The following is a 16,347-nucleotide window of genomic DNA, read 5'->3' as shown; positions in this document are numbered from 1 at the left end:
AGGATCAGTGTAGCCTATTAAACAGTCACAATGAAGACAAAAGGTTTTTACCTAAAGCCATTTCGAATGGAAGGAGCAGCAGCAGAGTCTAGGGCTTAAGAATCCACCTCCAAAGCCAGGCAGCCTGGGTCTGAATCCCCACTTACCAACTATGTGAATTTGGCAAAATTCTTCACCTAAACTTCAGTTTCCTCCGTTTGTAAAGCAGGGATGAAAGTAATGTCTACCTTTCAGAGTTGTTGAGCAGGATCTGAATCATGATGTACTTTACAGAATATGAGCACTTAGTAAATGTGAGACATACTCTTATTCTATATGAATTATATTGATGGTGATGAAGATGAGGAGGAAGATGGTAACCAGAGAGGCCTGACACTGTCTGAAGATCCTAGAGAGACTGTCTTGGCTGTGGGGTGTACGTCACCCTGGAGACAGCACACTAAAAGCAGTATGAGGAGAGGGTAGGTGACCAGGGGAGAGGAGTTTGCTTTCCTGTCATTACCCTCTAGCTGTAAAAATCAGTTAACCCCTTGATTTTCTCGAAAAGCAAACAAGTAATTGCAGTCATTTAATATTAAATGCATATATTTGTATATACTTCATCAGACAACAACAGTGGAAGAGCTAAGGGACAGGCTTTGGAAACAGAGTGGGCTCAAATCCCAGTTTGGCCATTTTTAGTTCTATAACCTCGAGCAAGTTGATGACCCTCCATGAGCTTCATGTGTCTCATTTGGAAATGGCAGTGAGAGGCATGGAGTAGCTCACTTCATCCCTGTAACCACTCCATCAGGGAGGTAGTTCCGTTTTTCTTATTTCATAGATGAGGAAACTGATAATGAGGTTAAACCGGTCACTTAAGTCCCTCAAAAGTCACATGACCTTTTTTCCCAAGATGGCAGATGAGAGGCTTTCCGCATACCTCAGCCACTTGCAAATAGCAAAATAGTGCATAAAGATAAACCCTGTGAGCTTTAATTCAAACAGGAAAACGGAAATCCACTTCAACAGCAAAGGACACCCCAGACTCCAGAGAGGAGAAGGTGGGCAAACAGCCTCCATGATGGCATCTGGCTGGTAAAAGTGAGTGAAGCCTCAATACATAAGAGGCAGAGGACCTCCCGCTGTCATTTCCCTTACTGCTAGGGATCCGCGCAACCCAGGCCGAGGGAGAGCACTTTGTTTCTCTTCAGCCTTGGAGCTAACTTGGGGAAAAGCTTACAGACGCTGAGACGGACACACTGAGAAAAGCTGCATGTATTTTCTCAGAACCAGGAATGACAAGGGGATGCCATTTTTAATCCAGGCTCAAACAAGGCAGTCATTCTTCAGCAATTTGGCAGTGTGGTCATGCAGACAATTTAGTCTTGGATCAAATATTGCAGCATTTGCTCTGCAGCAGGGGAAAGGCCTCCACAGCCAAAACTGAGCAACAAATATAGAAAGTAACCCAACAGTAGGTACTAGAATTGTGCTCTCCCCCATCACAGGTCCAAAAGTAAGAGGAGAGTCGCTGTAGCCATGGTTTATCTGGGCAATGAGGCGTGCAGACAGAGCCAGCTTGGTGGCCTGGAACTGGTTTGCATGTGTCCCTGCTGGGTGCCCAGCCTCCTCTCCTGAGGTTATGGTGCAGCAGGGCCTTCTACACTCCACCCCCAGGCAGATTTCCATGCATTCAGAGCACCTGCTCACCTGGATCAGTAGCCTGAGCCACCCATCTTTCCTGTGCAGAGACCGTGGTACAGTGAGGCCCTCTCTTCCCCACACCCAGGAGTATCTCCAGGCATTCAGAGCACCCACTTGCCTGGATCTGCAGCCAGAGCTACCCTTCCCTTCTTGTGCAGAGACTGTGGTGCAGCAGGGCCCTCTCTGCTCCATACCCAAGCAGATCTCCTGGCACCTGGAGGACCCACTCTCCTGGATGAGATTAGGCAGCTCCACTGCCTCATGCAGAGAACTTGAGACCAGGTGAGGTTCCCAGCTCCACACCTAGGCACATCTCTATGTGCCTAGTAGCCACCCATTGGACCACCCCTCAAAGCTGATGCTCGGACCTGCCATTGGGGGACCTGTAGGTGGGCCTGCCTGGTCTGGCCTGCCCATCTTGAAGCCCTCCTCCAGGTTGGAGCAGGGCGCTCAGACCACTGTGCACTCCACAGATTGGCCCTGAGGCAACAGAGAGTTTCCCCAGTAAACAAGGATCAAGTTTCTACTCAACTATATTGGCCACAGCTGGCTCTTAACCCAAAAGCCACTTCTTGGCCTGGACGTTGAATGGCACAACACAATAAGAAATCAGACATAAGCACACAGCACTCAGGAACGAGGTTAGTCTCCTGAGACCACTGCCCCCTGGTCCTACAGGAGGCAGTGAGCCTGCTCACAAGCCACCACAGAAATGCTATTTATAACCACAGAACTCAAACAGACACCTTGCCAGTGAAAACAGCCAGATCTGGAGACCCAACTCTTGGTGTGGTCCTCCCACAAGGGAGGTGGGAGCACAGCCTCCAAAGGCCACCGTGGGTCAAAGGAAACACGGGCATGGCATTAGCCGCTAAAGGTGGCACCACCACAGCCCTGGAACGAACATGGAGAGAGGGTCGTCTCATACTCCCTTCCCGCCTCCTCAATGTGCTGTGGCGGACTTGGCAGTGCGTCCTCCTGCTGGGGCCTGGAGAGTTTGGGCTGAAAGAAACTGCTTCCTGGGGCTTCTCCAGTGGCTCCAGCCGCTGAACGCGAATGTGTACTGGGGGAGGGCGCTTTTCATGCTTCTCTGTTGCCTCCCTCTGCCCATTCCCCAGGCAGCTATTACTCTTAAGCGCCATCTACTGGACTGCAGCTTAAACAACACCACCAAACAAAATTACACCCCTACAAGCAACAAAGGAGAAAGCCACTGTAGGAACCTCTCTGCAACCAAGGAACTCATAAACAGCCTTGGAACTCTGAAAATACCCAGAAACGTAGCCAAACAATCACACACAATATACACCACAGTAACAGCCCCAAGGACAAAAAGAATAAAAAAATCAAGAACTCTCATCCAAACAATAACAAAATCAAAAAAAAGAAAACATCAGTTCTTTCAAATGAGAAGAAACCAGCATAAGAACTCCAGCAGTAGAAAAAGCCAGACTGTTTTGTCACCTTCAAAGGATCCCACTAACTCCCCAGCAATGGATTCTAACCGGAATGAATGTCTGAAATGACATATAAAGAATCCAGGATATGGATAGCAAAGAAATGCAACAAGATCAAAGAGAAAATTGAAATCCAAGACAAGAAACAACACAAAAACGACTCAAGATTCAAAAGATGACATAGCTATGTTAAGAAGGAACAAAACAGAACTTCTAGAATTGAAAAATTCACTATAGGAATTTCAAAATACAGTTGGAAGTCTTAACGGCAGATGAGACCATGCAAAAGAAAGAATTTCAGAACTCAAAAATCAGTGCTTCAAATGAACCCAGACAAAAATTTGAAAAAAAAAAAAAGAATTTTAAAAAATGAACAGGCCGAGTGCAGTGGCTCACGCCTATAATCCCAGCACTTTGGGAGGAGGAGGCGGGCGGATCACGAGCTCAGGAGATGGAGACCATCCTGGCTAACACGGTGAAACCCTGTCTCTACTAAAAATACAAAAAATTAGCTGGGCGTGGTGGCGGGCGCCTGTAGTCCCAGCTACTCGGGAGGCTGAGGCAGGAGAATGGCGTGAACCCGGGAGGTGGAGGTTGCAGTGAGCCGAGATCGTGCCACTGTACTCCAGCCTGGGCGACAGAGTGAGACTCTGCTTCAAAAAAAAAAAAAAAACAAAGCAGCCAGGCACCATGGCTCATGCCTGTAGTCCCAGCACTTTGGGAGGCCAAGGCGGGTGGATCTTCTGAGCCCAAGAGTTCAAGACCAGGCTAGGCAACATGGTGAGACCCCCATCTCTACAAAAAATGCAAAAACTTAGCAGTGCATGGTCATGCACACCTGGAGTCCAGCTACTAGGAAGACTGAGGCGGAAGAATCACCTGAACCCAGAAAGTCGAGGCTGCAATGAGCTGTGATTATACCAGTGCACTCCAGCCTGGGCGAGAGTAAGACCCTGTCTCGAAAATTCAGGAAAAAAAAGAAAGTAAGTAAGTATTTGAGAAATACGAGATTATGTAAAACAACCAAATGTATACCTTATTGGCATTCCTGAGAGAAAAGAAGAGAAAATAAGCAGCTTGGAAAACATATTTGGGGATAAAATTCAGGAAAATTTCCCCAATCTTGCTTGAGAGGTTAAAATGCAGATATAAGAAATCCAGGCTAGGTGTGGTGGCTCACACCTGTAATCCCAACACTTTGGGACACCAAGGCAGGAGGACTGCTTGAGCCAAGGAGTTCGAGACCAGCCTGGGCAACATAGGGAGACCCCATCTCAACACAAAATACCAAAAAAAAAAAAAAAAAAAAAAAAAGATTTAGCTGGGTGTGATGGCACATGCCTGTAGTCCCAGCTACAGTCTTAGGAAGCTGACATGGGAGGGTTGTCTGAGCCTGGGAGGAGGTCAAGGCTGCAGTGAGCCGTGATTGCACCACTGCACTCCAGCCTGGGCAACAGAGTGAGACCCTGTCTCAAAAAGAAAAAAAAAAAAAAAAGAAAGAAAGAAAAGAAACCCAGGGAACTCCTGTGAGATACAAGACGACCGAGTCCAAGGCACATAGTCATCAGACTTTCCAAGATCAACGCAAAAGAAAAAATCTTAAAGGTAGCTACAGAAAAGGATCATGTTACCTATAAAAAGAAACCCATCAGAATGACAGCTGACTTCACAGAAGAAACTTTATAAACCAGAAGAGACAGGGGGCTGAGGCAAAAGGATCACTTGAGCCTGGGAAGTCAAAGCTGCAGTGACCCATACTCATACCACTGCACTTCCAGCACGGGTGATGGAGCAAAACCCTGTCTTTTGAAAAAAGACTAAAAATAAAAGACATAGGGTGGCAAATTGAATTTTAAAACCAAGATCCGTCCTTCTGCTGTTTGCAAGAGACCCATCTCACATATGATCACGCCCCTGGGCTCAAAGTAAAGGGATGGAGGAAAATCTACCACACAAATGGAATCGAAAAAGAGCAGAGGTCCCTACTCTTATACATATATCAGAAAATATAGACTTTAAACCAACAACAGTAAAAAAAAGGACAAGTAAGAGCATTACATAATGATAAAAGGTTAAATTCAACAAGAAGATTTAACTATTCTAAATGTATTTGCACCCAACACTGGCACACCCAGATTTATAAAACAATTACTTCTAGACCTAAGAGAATACTTTGACAGCCACATAATAATAGGAGGAGACTTCAACACTTCACTGATGGCATTAGACACATCACAGAGGCAGAAAATGAACAAAGAAATTCTGAACTTAAATTCAACACTTGACTAACCGGACCTAATAGGCATCTACAGAATACCCAACAACCACAGAATAGTCATTCTCCTCATCTGCACATGTAACATTCTCAAAGACTGAACACATGCTGAATCATAAAGCAAGTCTCAATATACTTTTTAAAAACTGAAATCATACCAAGCATCTTCTCAGACCACAATGGAATAAAAATAGAAATTAATACCAAGAGCAACTCTAAAAAACACACAAATACATGGAAACTAAACAACTTAACTCCTGAATGACTTTTGGGTAAACCACAAAATTAATGCAGAAATCAAAAACTTCTTTGAAACAAACAAAAGTAGACATAATATACCAAAATCTCTGAGACATGGCAAAAGCAATGTTAAGAGGAACGTTTACTGCACAAAACACCTACATCAAGTGGAAAGATCTCAAATTAACAACCTAACCTTGTACCTAAAGAAACCAGAAAAACAAGAACTAAACCCAAAGTTAGCAAAAGAAAAGAAATAACTAAAATCAGAGCAGAACTAAATGAAACCAAGACCCAAAAATACCATACTAAAGATCAATAAAATGAAAAGTTGGTTCTCTGAAAGGATAAACAAGATTGATAGGATTAACAAGATTGATAGGATTGCTAGCTGGATTAACAAAGGAAAAGGAGAGAAGATCCAAATAAGCACAATCAAAAATAACAAAGGTGACATAACAACCGATACCACAGAAATAGAAAAGATCTCCAGAGACTACTATGAACATCTCTATGCACACTGATTAGAAAATCTAGAGGAAGTAGACAAATTCCTGGAAACATACAACCACACAACTTCCCAAAATTGAATCAAGAAGAAAGAGAAATCCTGAACAGACCGATAATGGAGTAATGAAACTGAATCAGTAATTTAAAAAACCTACCAACCAAGAAAAGCCCTGGACGAGATGGATTCACAGCCAAATTCTACCAGGCTTACAAAAAAGAGCTGGTACCAATCCTACTGGAACAATTCCAAAAAATAGAGGAGGGAATCCTTCCAAACCCTGTCTTTGAAACCAGTATCATCCTAACACTAAAAGCTGGAAAAGACAAAACAACAACAAAAAACTACATGCCAATATCTCCAATGAACACAGATGCAAAAATCCTCAACAAAATACTAGTAAACCAAATCCAGCAGCATATCAGAAAGTTAATTTGCCATGATCAAGTAGGCTTTATTCCTGGGATGTAGCAGTGGTTCATCTACCCAAATCAATAAATGTGATTTACCACATAAACAGAATTAAAAACAAAAACTATATGATCATCTCAATAGACACAGAAAAAGCATTTGATAAAATCCAATATGTCTTTATGATAAAAAGAAAAAAACCAACAAACTAGGCATTGAAAGAAGATACCTCAAAATAATAAAAGCCATTTATGATGAACCCACAGCCAGCATCATACTGAATGAGTAAAAGCTGGAAGCATTTTCCTTAAGAACCGGAACTAGACAAGGGTGTCCACTCTCACCATTCCTATTCAACATACTAGAAGTCCTACCCAGAGCAATCAGGCAAGAGAAAGCAAAGGCATTCCAAATAGGAAAAGATGAAGTCAAATTATCTGTCTCCACTGACAATATGATTCTCTACCTGGAAAACCCTAAAGATGCTGCCAAAAGACTACTAGATCTGATTAACAACTTCAGCAGAGTTTCAGGATACAGGATGCAAAGTCAACAGATAAAAATCAACATTTCTTTATATCAGTAACATCTGAGCTGAGAAGTAAATCAAGAATGCAATCCCATTTACAATAGCCACACACCTACACAAAAACCCAGGCATATATTTAACCAAGAAAGTGAATGATGTCCGTGAGAAGAACTACAAAACACTGCTGAAAGATATCACAGACAATACAAATAAATGGAAAAGCATTCCATGCTCATGGGTTGGAAGAATCAGTATCATTAAAATCTCCATACCGCCCAAAGCAATCCACAGATTCAGCATTACTTCTATCAAATTGCCAATGTCATTTTTCAGAGAATTAGAAAACACTTTTCTAAAATTCACATGGAATGAAAAAAAAAGCCTCAACAGTCAAGGCAATCCTAAGCAAAAGGAACAAAGCCGGCTTCAAACAATACTACAAGGCTACAATAACCAAAACAGCATAGTATGGGCACAAAAATAGGATATATAGACCAATGGAACAGAACACAGACCCCTGAAATAAAGCCGTACACCTACAACCAAGTCACCTTTGACACAGCTGACAAAAAACAAGGGGGAAAGGACTTCCTATTCAATAAATGGTGCTGAGAAAACTGGCTAACTCTATGCAGCAGAATGAAACTAGACTACTACCTCTCATCATATACAATAAATTAACTAAAGATGGAGTCAAGACTTGAATGTAAGACTTCAAACTCTAAAAATTCTAGAAGAAAACCTAGGAAATACTCTTCCAGATAGTCGCCTAGGCAAAAAATTTATGAAGACCCCAAAAGCAAATGCAACAAAATCAAAAACAGACAAACGGGACTTAATCTAAAGGGCTTCTGCACAGCAAAAGAAACTCTCAACAGAGGAAACAGACAATCTACAAAACGGGAGAAAATATCTGCAAACTATGCATCTGACAAAGAACTAATTTCCAGAATCTATAAGGAACTGAAATGAATAATTAAGAAAAAACAGCCCCATTAAAAAGTGGGCAAGAGACATGAACAGACACATCTCAAAAGAAGACGGACAAATGGCCAAAAAACATATGAAAAAATTGTTCAACATCATTAATCTTCAGAGAAATGCAAATTGAAACCACAATGAGATACCATCTGTATTAGGCCATTCTCACACTGCTATAAAGAACTACCTGAGACTGGGTAATTTATGAAGAAAAGGGGCTTAATTGACTCACAGTTCCACAGGCTGTACATGAAGCATGGCTGGGAGGCCTCAGGAAAATTACAATCATGGTGGAAGGCGAAGGAAAAGCAAGCACACCTTACTGTGGCGGAGCAGGAGAGAGTGAGCAAGCAAGGGGGGAAGTGCCACACACTTTTAAACCATCAGATCTGAGAAAAACTCACTATCACAGGAACAGCATGGGGAAAATCCACCCCCATTATCCAATCACCTCCCACTAAGTCCCTCCCTCAACACTGGGAATTACAATTCAACATGAGATTTGAGTGGGGACACAGAGCCAAACCATATCACCATCTCACACCAGTCAGAATGGCGATTATTTAAAAAGTCAAAAAATAAGGTGCTAGTGAGGTTGTGGGAAAAAAAGGGAATGCTTATACACTGTTGGTGGGAATGCAAATTAGCTCAGCCCCTGTGGAAAGCAGTTGGACATTTCTCAAAGAACTAAAAATAGAACTACCATTCGACCCAGCAATACCTTACTGGGTATATATCCAAAAAAAATAAATGAATAAATCATTCCACCCAAAAGACACATGCAGTACTTGTATGTTAATCGCAGCATTATTCACAATAACAAAGACATGGAATCAATAGAGTGCCCATCAATAGTGGAGTGGATAAAGAAAATGTGGTACATATACACCACGGAATACTATGCAGCAACAAAGTTAAAAAACCAAAATCACGTCCTTTGCAGCAACATGGATGCAGCTAAAAGCTGTTATCCTAAGTGAACTAATGGAGAAACAGAAAACGAACTACTACATGTTTTCAATTATAAGTGGAAGCTAAATCTTGGGTTTACACAGATATAAAGATGAAAGTAATAGACACTGGAGACTCCAAAAGGGGAGGGGGAGGGGGAGAGAGAGAGAAAGGGTGGAAAAACTTCCTGTTGAGTACTATGTTCACCATATGGGTGACAGGATCAAAGCTCCAACTTCAACACCATGTAATATATCCCTGTAACAAACCTGTACATGTACCCCCAAATCTAAAATAAAATGGAAAAAAAAAGTCACACAATTGAGTGGAGCTGAGATTTCAACTCCAGGAATTCCACTTTAGAGCCTACTATGCCATATTATACTAAACTGTCTATGGAATGTCCAATTAAATGTCATATAAGGAGCCCAGCCTAGTGCCTGGCACACAATCATCTTTCAATCAGTGTTAGCTATTATAATTATTATTGCTCCCAATTTTATCTTGAGAGATACAAAAAAGACAGCTCTAAAAGCTTTATTTTACAAAGAAAAAATACATAGTGAGCACTAGCTCAAGGCAAAAAACCAAGCCCATATATACCCAAACTACCCTCTCCCCTCAAGAAAAGGCACCTGATGGTGCCTTCCCTGGAGCCGACCTACACATACGCCACCACACTCGCCCTCTCATTCTTTCCTTCCTATCTTCCCTTCCAAGTAGTCTTGTTGTTCCTGGGAATATAAACAACCTAAAAATGCAATGAAGAATAGGGTGATATTCTTCATCATCATTTTTTATTCTGCAAATACTGATTGAATGCCAAGTTCTAAACACTAAGCTAGGCTCCGAGGAGCTCTCTTTGCAGCTCCGCATCTCCAGATGCTTGGGCAGAAAATTTCAGAGTGGGCAGGACCTCAGAGGCCTGCTTTCTTCCACCTCAATCCCATCCCTAACATGAACATGTTCTCATTATTATAAATATTACGAAGTTCTTCTTTCTAGTGAATCAAAAACTCACCTCATGGCAAGTACTGCTCACTTGTACTCAGTATGCTTTCTCAGACAACACAGAATAAATCTATGCACACTTTATATTGGAGCCCTTCAATTTTCCCCAGTGCTTTGTCTATACTGGGCACTAAAATGATGCAGAATGACTCTCTCCTAAATTTGCTCTTATCAAACCACTCTGGTCCCAAGGGAAAATACAATCTACCATTTACAGAGCCACATGACAGCAGAAGCTTCCAATGCCACAGCTAAAGAAAAACAGAATAAGGAAGACAATGTCATTATTATTTTCCTTCTCTCCTTAAAGGAAAGAGAAAGGAAGACAGAAAGTTTCCTGTGCTTTTAAAGTCTCTTTTTAAACACTCCAGAAAATGCAAAGCCCTGCTGAGAAGAAGAAAAAAAAAAAAAAACCACACACAAAACAGTAAAGTTTTCATAGCAATGCCAAACAAGTCAACATTCATGAAAACTGGGGATGGGGGGGAGTCTGAAAATTTGTCAAATATTCTTGCTATGGGATTTTGACTTCTACACTGAACAGTCAATACTCAGGCAGACACAAAGCTTTTAGAAACTTTGCAGCTTTATTATTGCTGCTGCTATTGTTGTTGTTGTTTAAGACATTTATTTTTCTCTCACATAAAAACTAGTGCTGCCTAGCAACCCAGTGCCAGCAAAGCTAAATCAAGAAGCATTTTTGGCTAGATGTTTTTTAAAGAGATTTCTTTTTCCCATTAAATGGCAAGCATGCTGTAAGACTGGAAGACTCTTGCACTTGATGGAAAATGGTTTGGATATTACTCACTCAATCTCTTTATATATTAAAGAATGACAGAGACCAACCTACGGAAGAGGGATAGGACATATATTGTGTTTGTAGCCACAGGAATGAAGCAGTGGATACTCCTCATCAAAAACAGCCCACATGTGGCTGTCACTGGGACAGCAGCAAGTTGAGACTGAATGGGAATCCAATTACACCAATGAACCTAGGAGCACCAATGCATTCTACTGATCGTGGCAAAGAGAGGTAGATGCAGGTCATAAAGTTGGTTGCAGGGTTAACAAGAGTGAAACAACACAGTGTGATACTCCTCTATATGTGCACGTAACATTATTCTGGTGATTACATTGGACACTGCTATGGTCTGACTGCATCCCTCAGAGTTCATATGTTGAAAACATAATCCTCAATGTAATAGTGTTGAGAGATGTGAGCTTTAAGAGGTCATTAGGTCATGAGGTCCCTGCCCTCACAAATGGATTCATGTTATCTCAGGCATAGGTTTGTAATCAAGAGAGTTCGTTAGAAAAGCAAGTTTGGCCCTCACTCACTTGCACATGCACTCTGTCTGTCACTCCTTTTTCACATGTTCTCTTGTCCTTCTGCCATGAGATGATGCATCAAGAAGGCCCTTGGCAGATGCAGCTCATCAACCTTGGGCTTTCCAGCTTATGCAACTGTAAGAAATGAAATCTCTGTTCCTTCAAAATTACCCAGTCTCAAGTATTGTTATAGCAACACAATACAGACTAAGACATATGGGAAACACATATGCCCTTCTCCCTACTGCTCTGTCTAGGCTCCTCCGTGACTGGAGGACACACACTACTCGGGGACTTTGAAGCACATGTTACAAACAAGGATAAATCAAAGTGCCATGAAGACACCTCTGGGCAGTACAAGGCCATCAGCCATTTCAACAAAGCAAGACCACCACAATGGCCTCCACTGTCACACCAAAAAAAAGACACATTCTACCACAATCCCTATTACAAAGGCTAAAATGCTTATTACAAAGTTATAAAGAATCCTTGTCCAGGAAATGTTTAATGTACATGAAATGTAATTGTCCCTTGGCACAAAGTCATCCACAAAAACTGTAATACATAAAGGCTATGATATGGTTTGGCTGTGTCCCCACCCAAATCTCATCTTGAATTGTAGCTCCCATATTCCCACATGTTGTGGGAGGGACCCAGTGGGAGATAATTGAATCATGGGGGTGGGTCTTTCCTGTGCTATTCTCATGATAGTAAGTCTCATGAGATCTGATGGTTTTATAAAGGGGAGTTTCCCTGCACAAGTTCTCTTGTCTGCTGCCATGTAAGATATGCCTTTCCCCTTCCGCCATGATTGTGAGGCCTCCCCAGCCCTGTGGAACCATGAGCCCATTAAACCTCTTTCATTTGTAAATTTCCCAGTCTTGGGTATGTCTTTATCAGCAGCCTGAAAACAGACTAATACAGGCTAGTACTAGGAAAAAACCTCCTGATCATCAGGAAATCAATGAAACATCAGAGCACACTGAAGTACCACACAAAGCTAAGGTCAACCAAAGCACATTTTACATATCTCATTGAAAATCCAATTAAAACCCTCAATAAGATCAATGTAATCTGAATTGTATTCTTATATTAAGTAATTCTGAGAGTAACATTATATTCCTTACTTTATAAATTGCCAATTTTTCAGTATTAAGACAGATATTAAAAGAAAACCACCCTGATTAATATGATCTTTGATGCTTTTCACAGGCTCTTCAGAATCTTCAAGGGCCCTTAGGAAGTGGGGGGAGATGAGGAGGGAGTCAAATTACAAACAAAAGTTTTTATTACATTATAATGTATAAAATATAAGAATGAGGTATATGAAAATGTTCACAACACCACTAATCATCAGAGAAATGAAAAGCAAAACTACAATGAGATGTCATCTCACCCCAGTTAAAATGGCTTTTATCCAAAAGTCAGGCAATAAAAAATGTTGGCAAGGATGTAGAGAAAAGAGAACCCCTGTACACTCTTGGTGGGAATGTACCCCTATGGAGAATACTTTGGAGGTTCCTCAAAAAACTAAAAATAGAGCTACCATATGATCCAGCAATCCCACTGCTAGGTGTATACCCAAAAGAAAGGAAATCAGTATATCAAAGAGATATCTGCACTCCCATGATTACTGCAGCACTATTCACAATCATCAAGATTTGGAAGCATCCTAAGTGTCTATCAACAGACAAATGGATAAAGAAAATGTGATACTTATACACAGTGGAGTACTATTCAGCCTTAAAAAAGAATGAGATCCTGTCATTTACAATGGCATGGATGGAACTGAAGGTAATTATGTTAAGTGAAATAAGTCAGGCATAGAAAGACAAATTTTACATGTTCTCCCTTATTTGTGGGAGCAAAAAACTGAAACAATTTAACTCATGAAGATAGAGAACAGAATGATGGTTACCAGAGGCTGGGGAGGGTAGTGAGCAGTGGCGGGGGGAGCAGGGATGGTTAATGGGCACAAAAATACAGTTAGATAGAATAAAATTCAGTATTTGATAGCACAACAGGATGACTGAAGTCAACAATAATTTCTTACACATTTAAAAATAACTAAAAGAGTATAACTGGATTGCTTGTAACACAAAGAATGGATAAATGCTTGAGGTGGTGGAGACTCCATTTCCCCTGCTGTGATTATTACCCATGGCATGCCTCTATCAAAATATCTCATGTACCCCATAAATACATACACCAACTATGTACCCACGAAAATTAAAAATAAATAATAGACTCAATCTACACAGACTCAGTGACTCCTGAGAGGGTTCATTCCCTGTTTAAGTTCCTCTAAAGAACTCCCTACCTCAGACATAAGCTAACAGGTCACTAGACTCTGAGGGTGACCAGTGAGCCATGTAAAACTCAGGCACTAGTGGTCCTGCTCTGTCCTTCCCCTCCATGTCTATTCTGGCTTTTCCTCCTGCTTTATTCTTGTCATATGACAAAAACAACAAAAAAAAATTGACACTGAATATCACTCATTCCGAAACACTCATTCACATACATCTTACAAGTTGATCCACACTCTGGCTCTCAACAGAAATGTCACCATTAGGCCAGTCACGGTGGCTCATGCCTGTAATCCCAGCACTTTAGGAAACCAAGGCCGGTGGATCACTTGAGATCAGGAGTTCGAAACCAGCCTGGCCAACATGAAGAAACCCCATCTCTACTAAAAAATACAAAATTAGCCAGGCATGGTGGCACATGCCTGTAATCCCAGCTACTTGGGAGGCTGAGGCAGGAGAATCACTTGGACCCGGTAGGCAGAGATTGCAGTGAGCCAAGACCATGCCACTGCACTCCAGCCTGGGCAACAAGCATGAAACTCCGTCTCAAAAAAAAAAAAGAAATGTCACTGTTGAAAGAGCTCACTCATGCCACTGGTTCATGAGCTCACATCACTAGCCTGTCCTCATACTTGCCCATCTCATGGGACGTATCTGGCATCCTTGACAAGGCCCTAGACAACCCTGACACTAGCACTGACCTGATCCTGCCTGGGTTTCTTCTGGCTCCTCTATTACCCCTAACAGGAAAATCTTGGTGTTTCTCAAGGATATTACTGTCTTCTCCTAGTGATGAAAAGCAAAGGCTTTGGGGGTCAATCTCAGTTCAAACCCAAGCACTTCACTTTTACTAGCTGTGTGCTCATGAGCAAGTTAAGCTCTCACCCCTCACTTCTCTCAGATGTATAAAGAGATAATATACATAAGAATTTTCACCCATACAGGGATACTATTACATATATTTATGCAATGGGAATTTTATGTTTTATATATATATTTTTAAGTGTATGGATACACAAAGAAGCATCCTCATACACTAGAATTACATTAATACCCTTTATAGTAGACCCAAAGCATGTAACATCATGAGCATCCAATAAATATTTTCTTACGCCAATCTCATGTCTTTAACTATACCTTACGTTATACTTTCTACCCCTAAATTCACTCATAAGTTTGAGCACCAAATCTCTGTCTAATGGACTTATCTTGAACAGATAACTACAATTCACCATGTGACAAACTGAACTCATCTTACTCCTCCCCCAAACCCCTTTGTTCCTTCCTTTTATTAGTGACACCCATATTGTCCCAGGATTGAATCTCTATCACACCTTCCCCAAGACCCCTTACAAACCCAGTCCCCGGGTTTTGCCTATTCCACCTCACCAAATGATGCTGTCCACCCTGGAACTCCCCATTCTCACTCCCATGCCCTTCGACTATGCCAAATAACCTCTCTCCTAGCCTTTCATTCCTCTACTTCCTACTGCAAATCCTGCTGTCAGATTAAGTTTTGTGAAGCAGTTTACTTGAAAACTATGAGTGGCCCCAGTACCTATAAAAGTAAATGCAAAAGTCCTAAAGCGGCATTCTCAACCTCCCACACCTGGCCCGAATCTCTTTCCAATCTCATCTCCTGCCATTTGCCCATGTTCCAACAAGAGCTGCATTCCCAGAACACGTACCTCCTCTCTGTGTTTCTCTGATTACATGGTCTCCCATACCCGAAATGTCCTCTTAAAACATCTCCACCTGTTCAAACTCCATTATAAAACTGATTCAAAACACTTACTGGGGAAACTTTCCAGATTCCCTGCAGCTGAACATAAACTCTCCTCTGAAGTCTCCGCCACTTTCTCGCTCATTCTCTCTCTGTCTCTCTCTCAAAGCGCTTATTCTCTGCCATATCTTGTAGCTACTTTTGGACATTTCTTCTTTCCCCTACTGGACTGTCTTTACTTCCCCCAAATCTCACACCATGAATGACTCACAGCAGGCACTGGGGGAAAAAATGCACCAAATTAATGCATAACAAGTATACTCTGTTAAGAACAGAACTTATGCAAAACTCACAAATCCTAAGGCACAACCCCAATTTGAAAATCCTTGAAAAGTTCACAGCACCCTTTGCCACCTGGGAAATAAAATTTTCTCGTTAACAAAGGAAGAAAGACCTTAATAATATTTTGGCCCAGGAACTCTTTTTTTTTTTTTTTTTTTTTTGAGACAGAGTCTCGCTCTTGTCACCCAGGCTGGTGTGCAGTGGCGCAATCTCAGCTCACTGCAACCTCCACCTCCTGGGTTCAAGCAATTCTTCTGCCTCAGCCTCCTGAATAGCTGGGATTACAGGTGCCCGCCACCACGCCTGGCTAATTCTTGTACTTTCTTTTAAGTAGAGATGGGGTTTTGCCATGTTGGCCAGGCTGGTCTCGAACTCCTGACCTCAGGTGATCTGCCCGCCTTGGCCTCCCGAAGTGCTGAGATTACAGGCATGAGCCACCATGCTCAGTCTACATCTTTATTATGTGTAAATAAAGCTAAAACATATGGATTAAGTTTCCTATAAAGTATACACAGATTTATAAAAACAGCAAGGAGGCTAGGAAAAATTGTCATCTCCAAAGCAGATTAACTAGGAGCCTTTTTCTAACTCCGAAATT

General features: G+C 41.7%; 1 protein-coding gene across 5 annotated transcripts in view, besides 1 other annotated feature; it reads right to left on the bottom strand.

The window, feature by feature from the left end:
* ARHGAP10 (Rho GTPase activating protein 10) overlaps positions 1-16,347 on the bottom strand; it is a 340,689-nt gene that overhangs the window by 85,773 nt on the left and 238,569 nt on the right. The gene's annotated exons all lie outside the window — the stretch shown is intronic.
* Positions 5,628-5,677: an enhancer, noted in NCBI's record as "active region_22012". NCBI's record gives its function as "activates an Ori minimal core promoter by ATAC-STARR-seq in GM12878 lymphoblastoid cells {active_cell/tissue: GM12878}" and the evidence as "EXISTENCE:reporter gene assay evidence [ECO:0000049][PMID:35858748]".

The sequence above is a fragment of the Homo sapiens genome, chromosome 4 (assembly GCF_000001405.40).
Source record: "Homo sapiens chromosome 4, GRCh38.p14 Primary Assembly".
In the NCBI taxonomy this organism is placed as follows: Eukaryota; Metazoa; Chordata; class Mammalia; order Primates; family Hominidae; genus Homo; species Homo sapiens.
The sequence above is the reverse complement of the archived record's forward strand: the minus strand, read 5'-3'. Positions and strand labels throughout refer to the sequence as shown.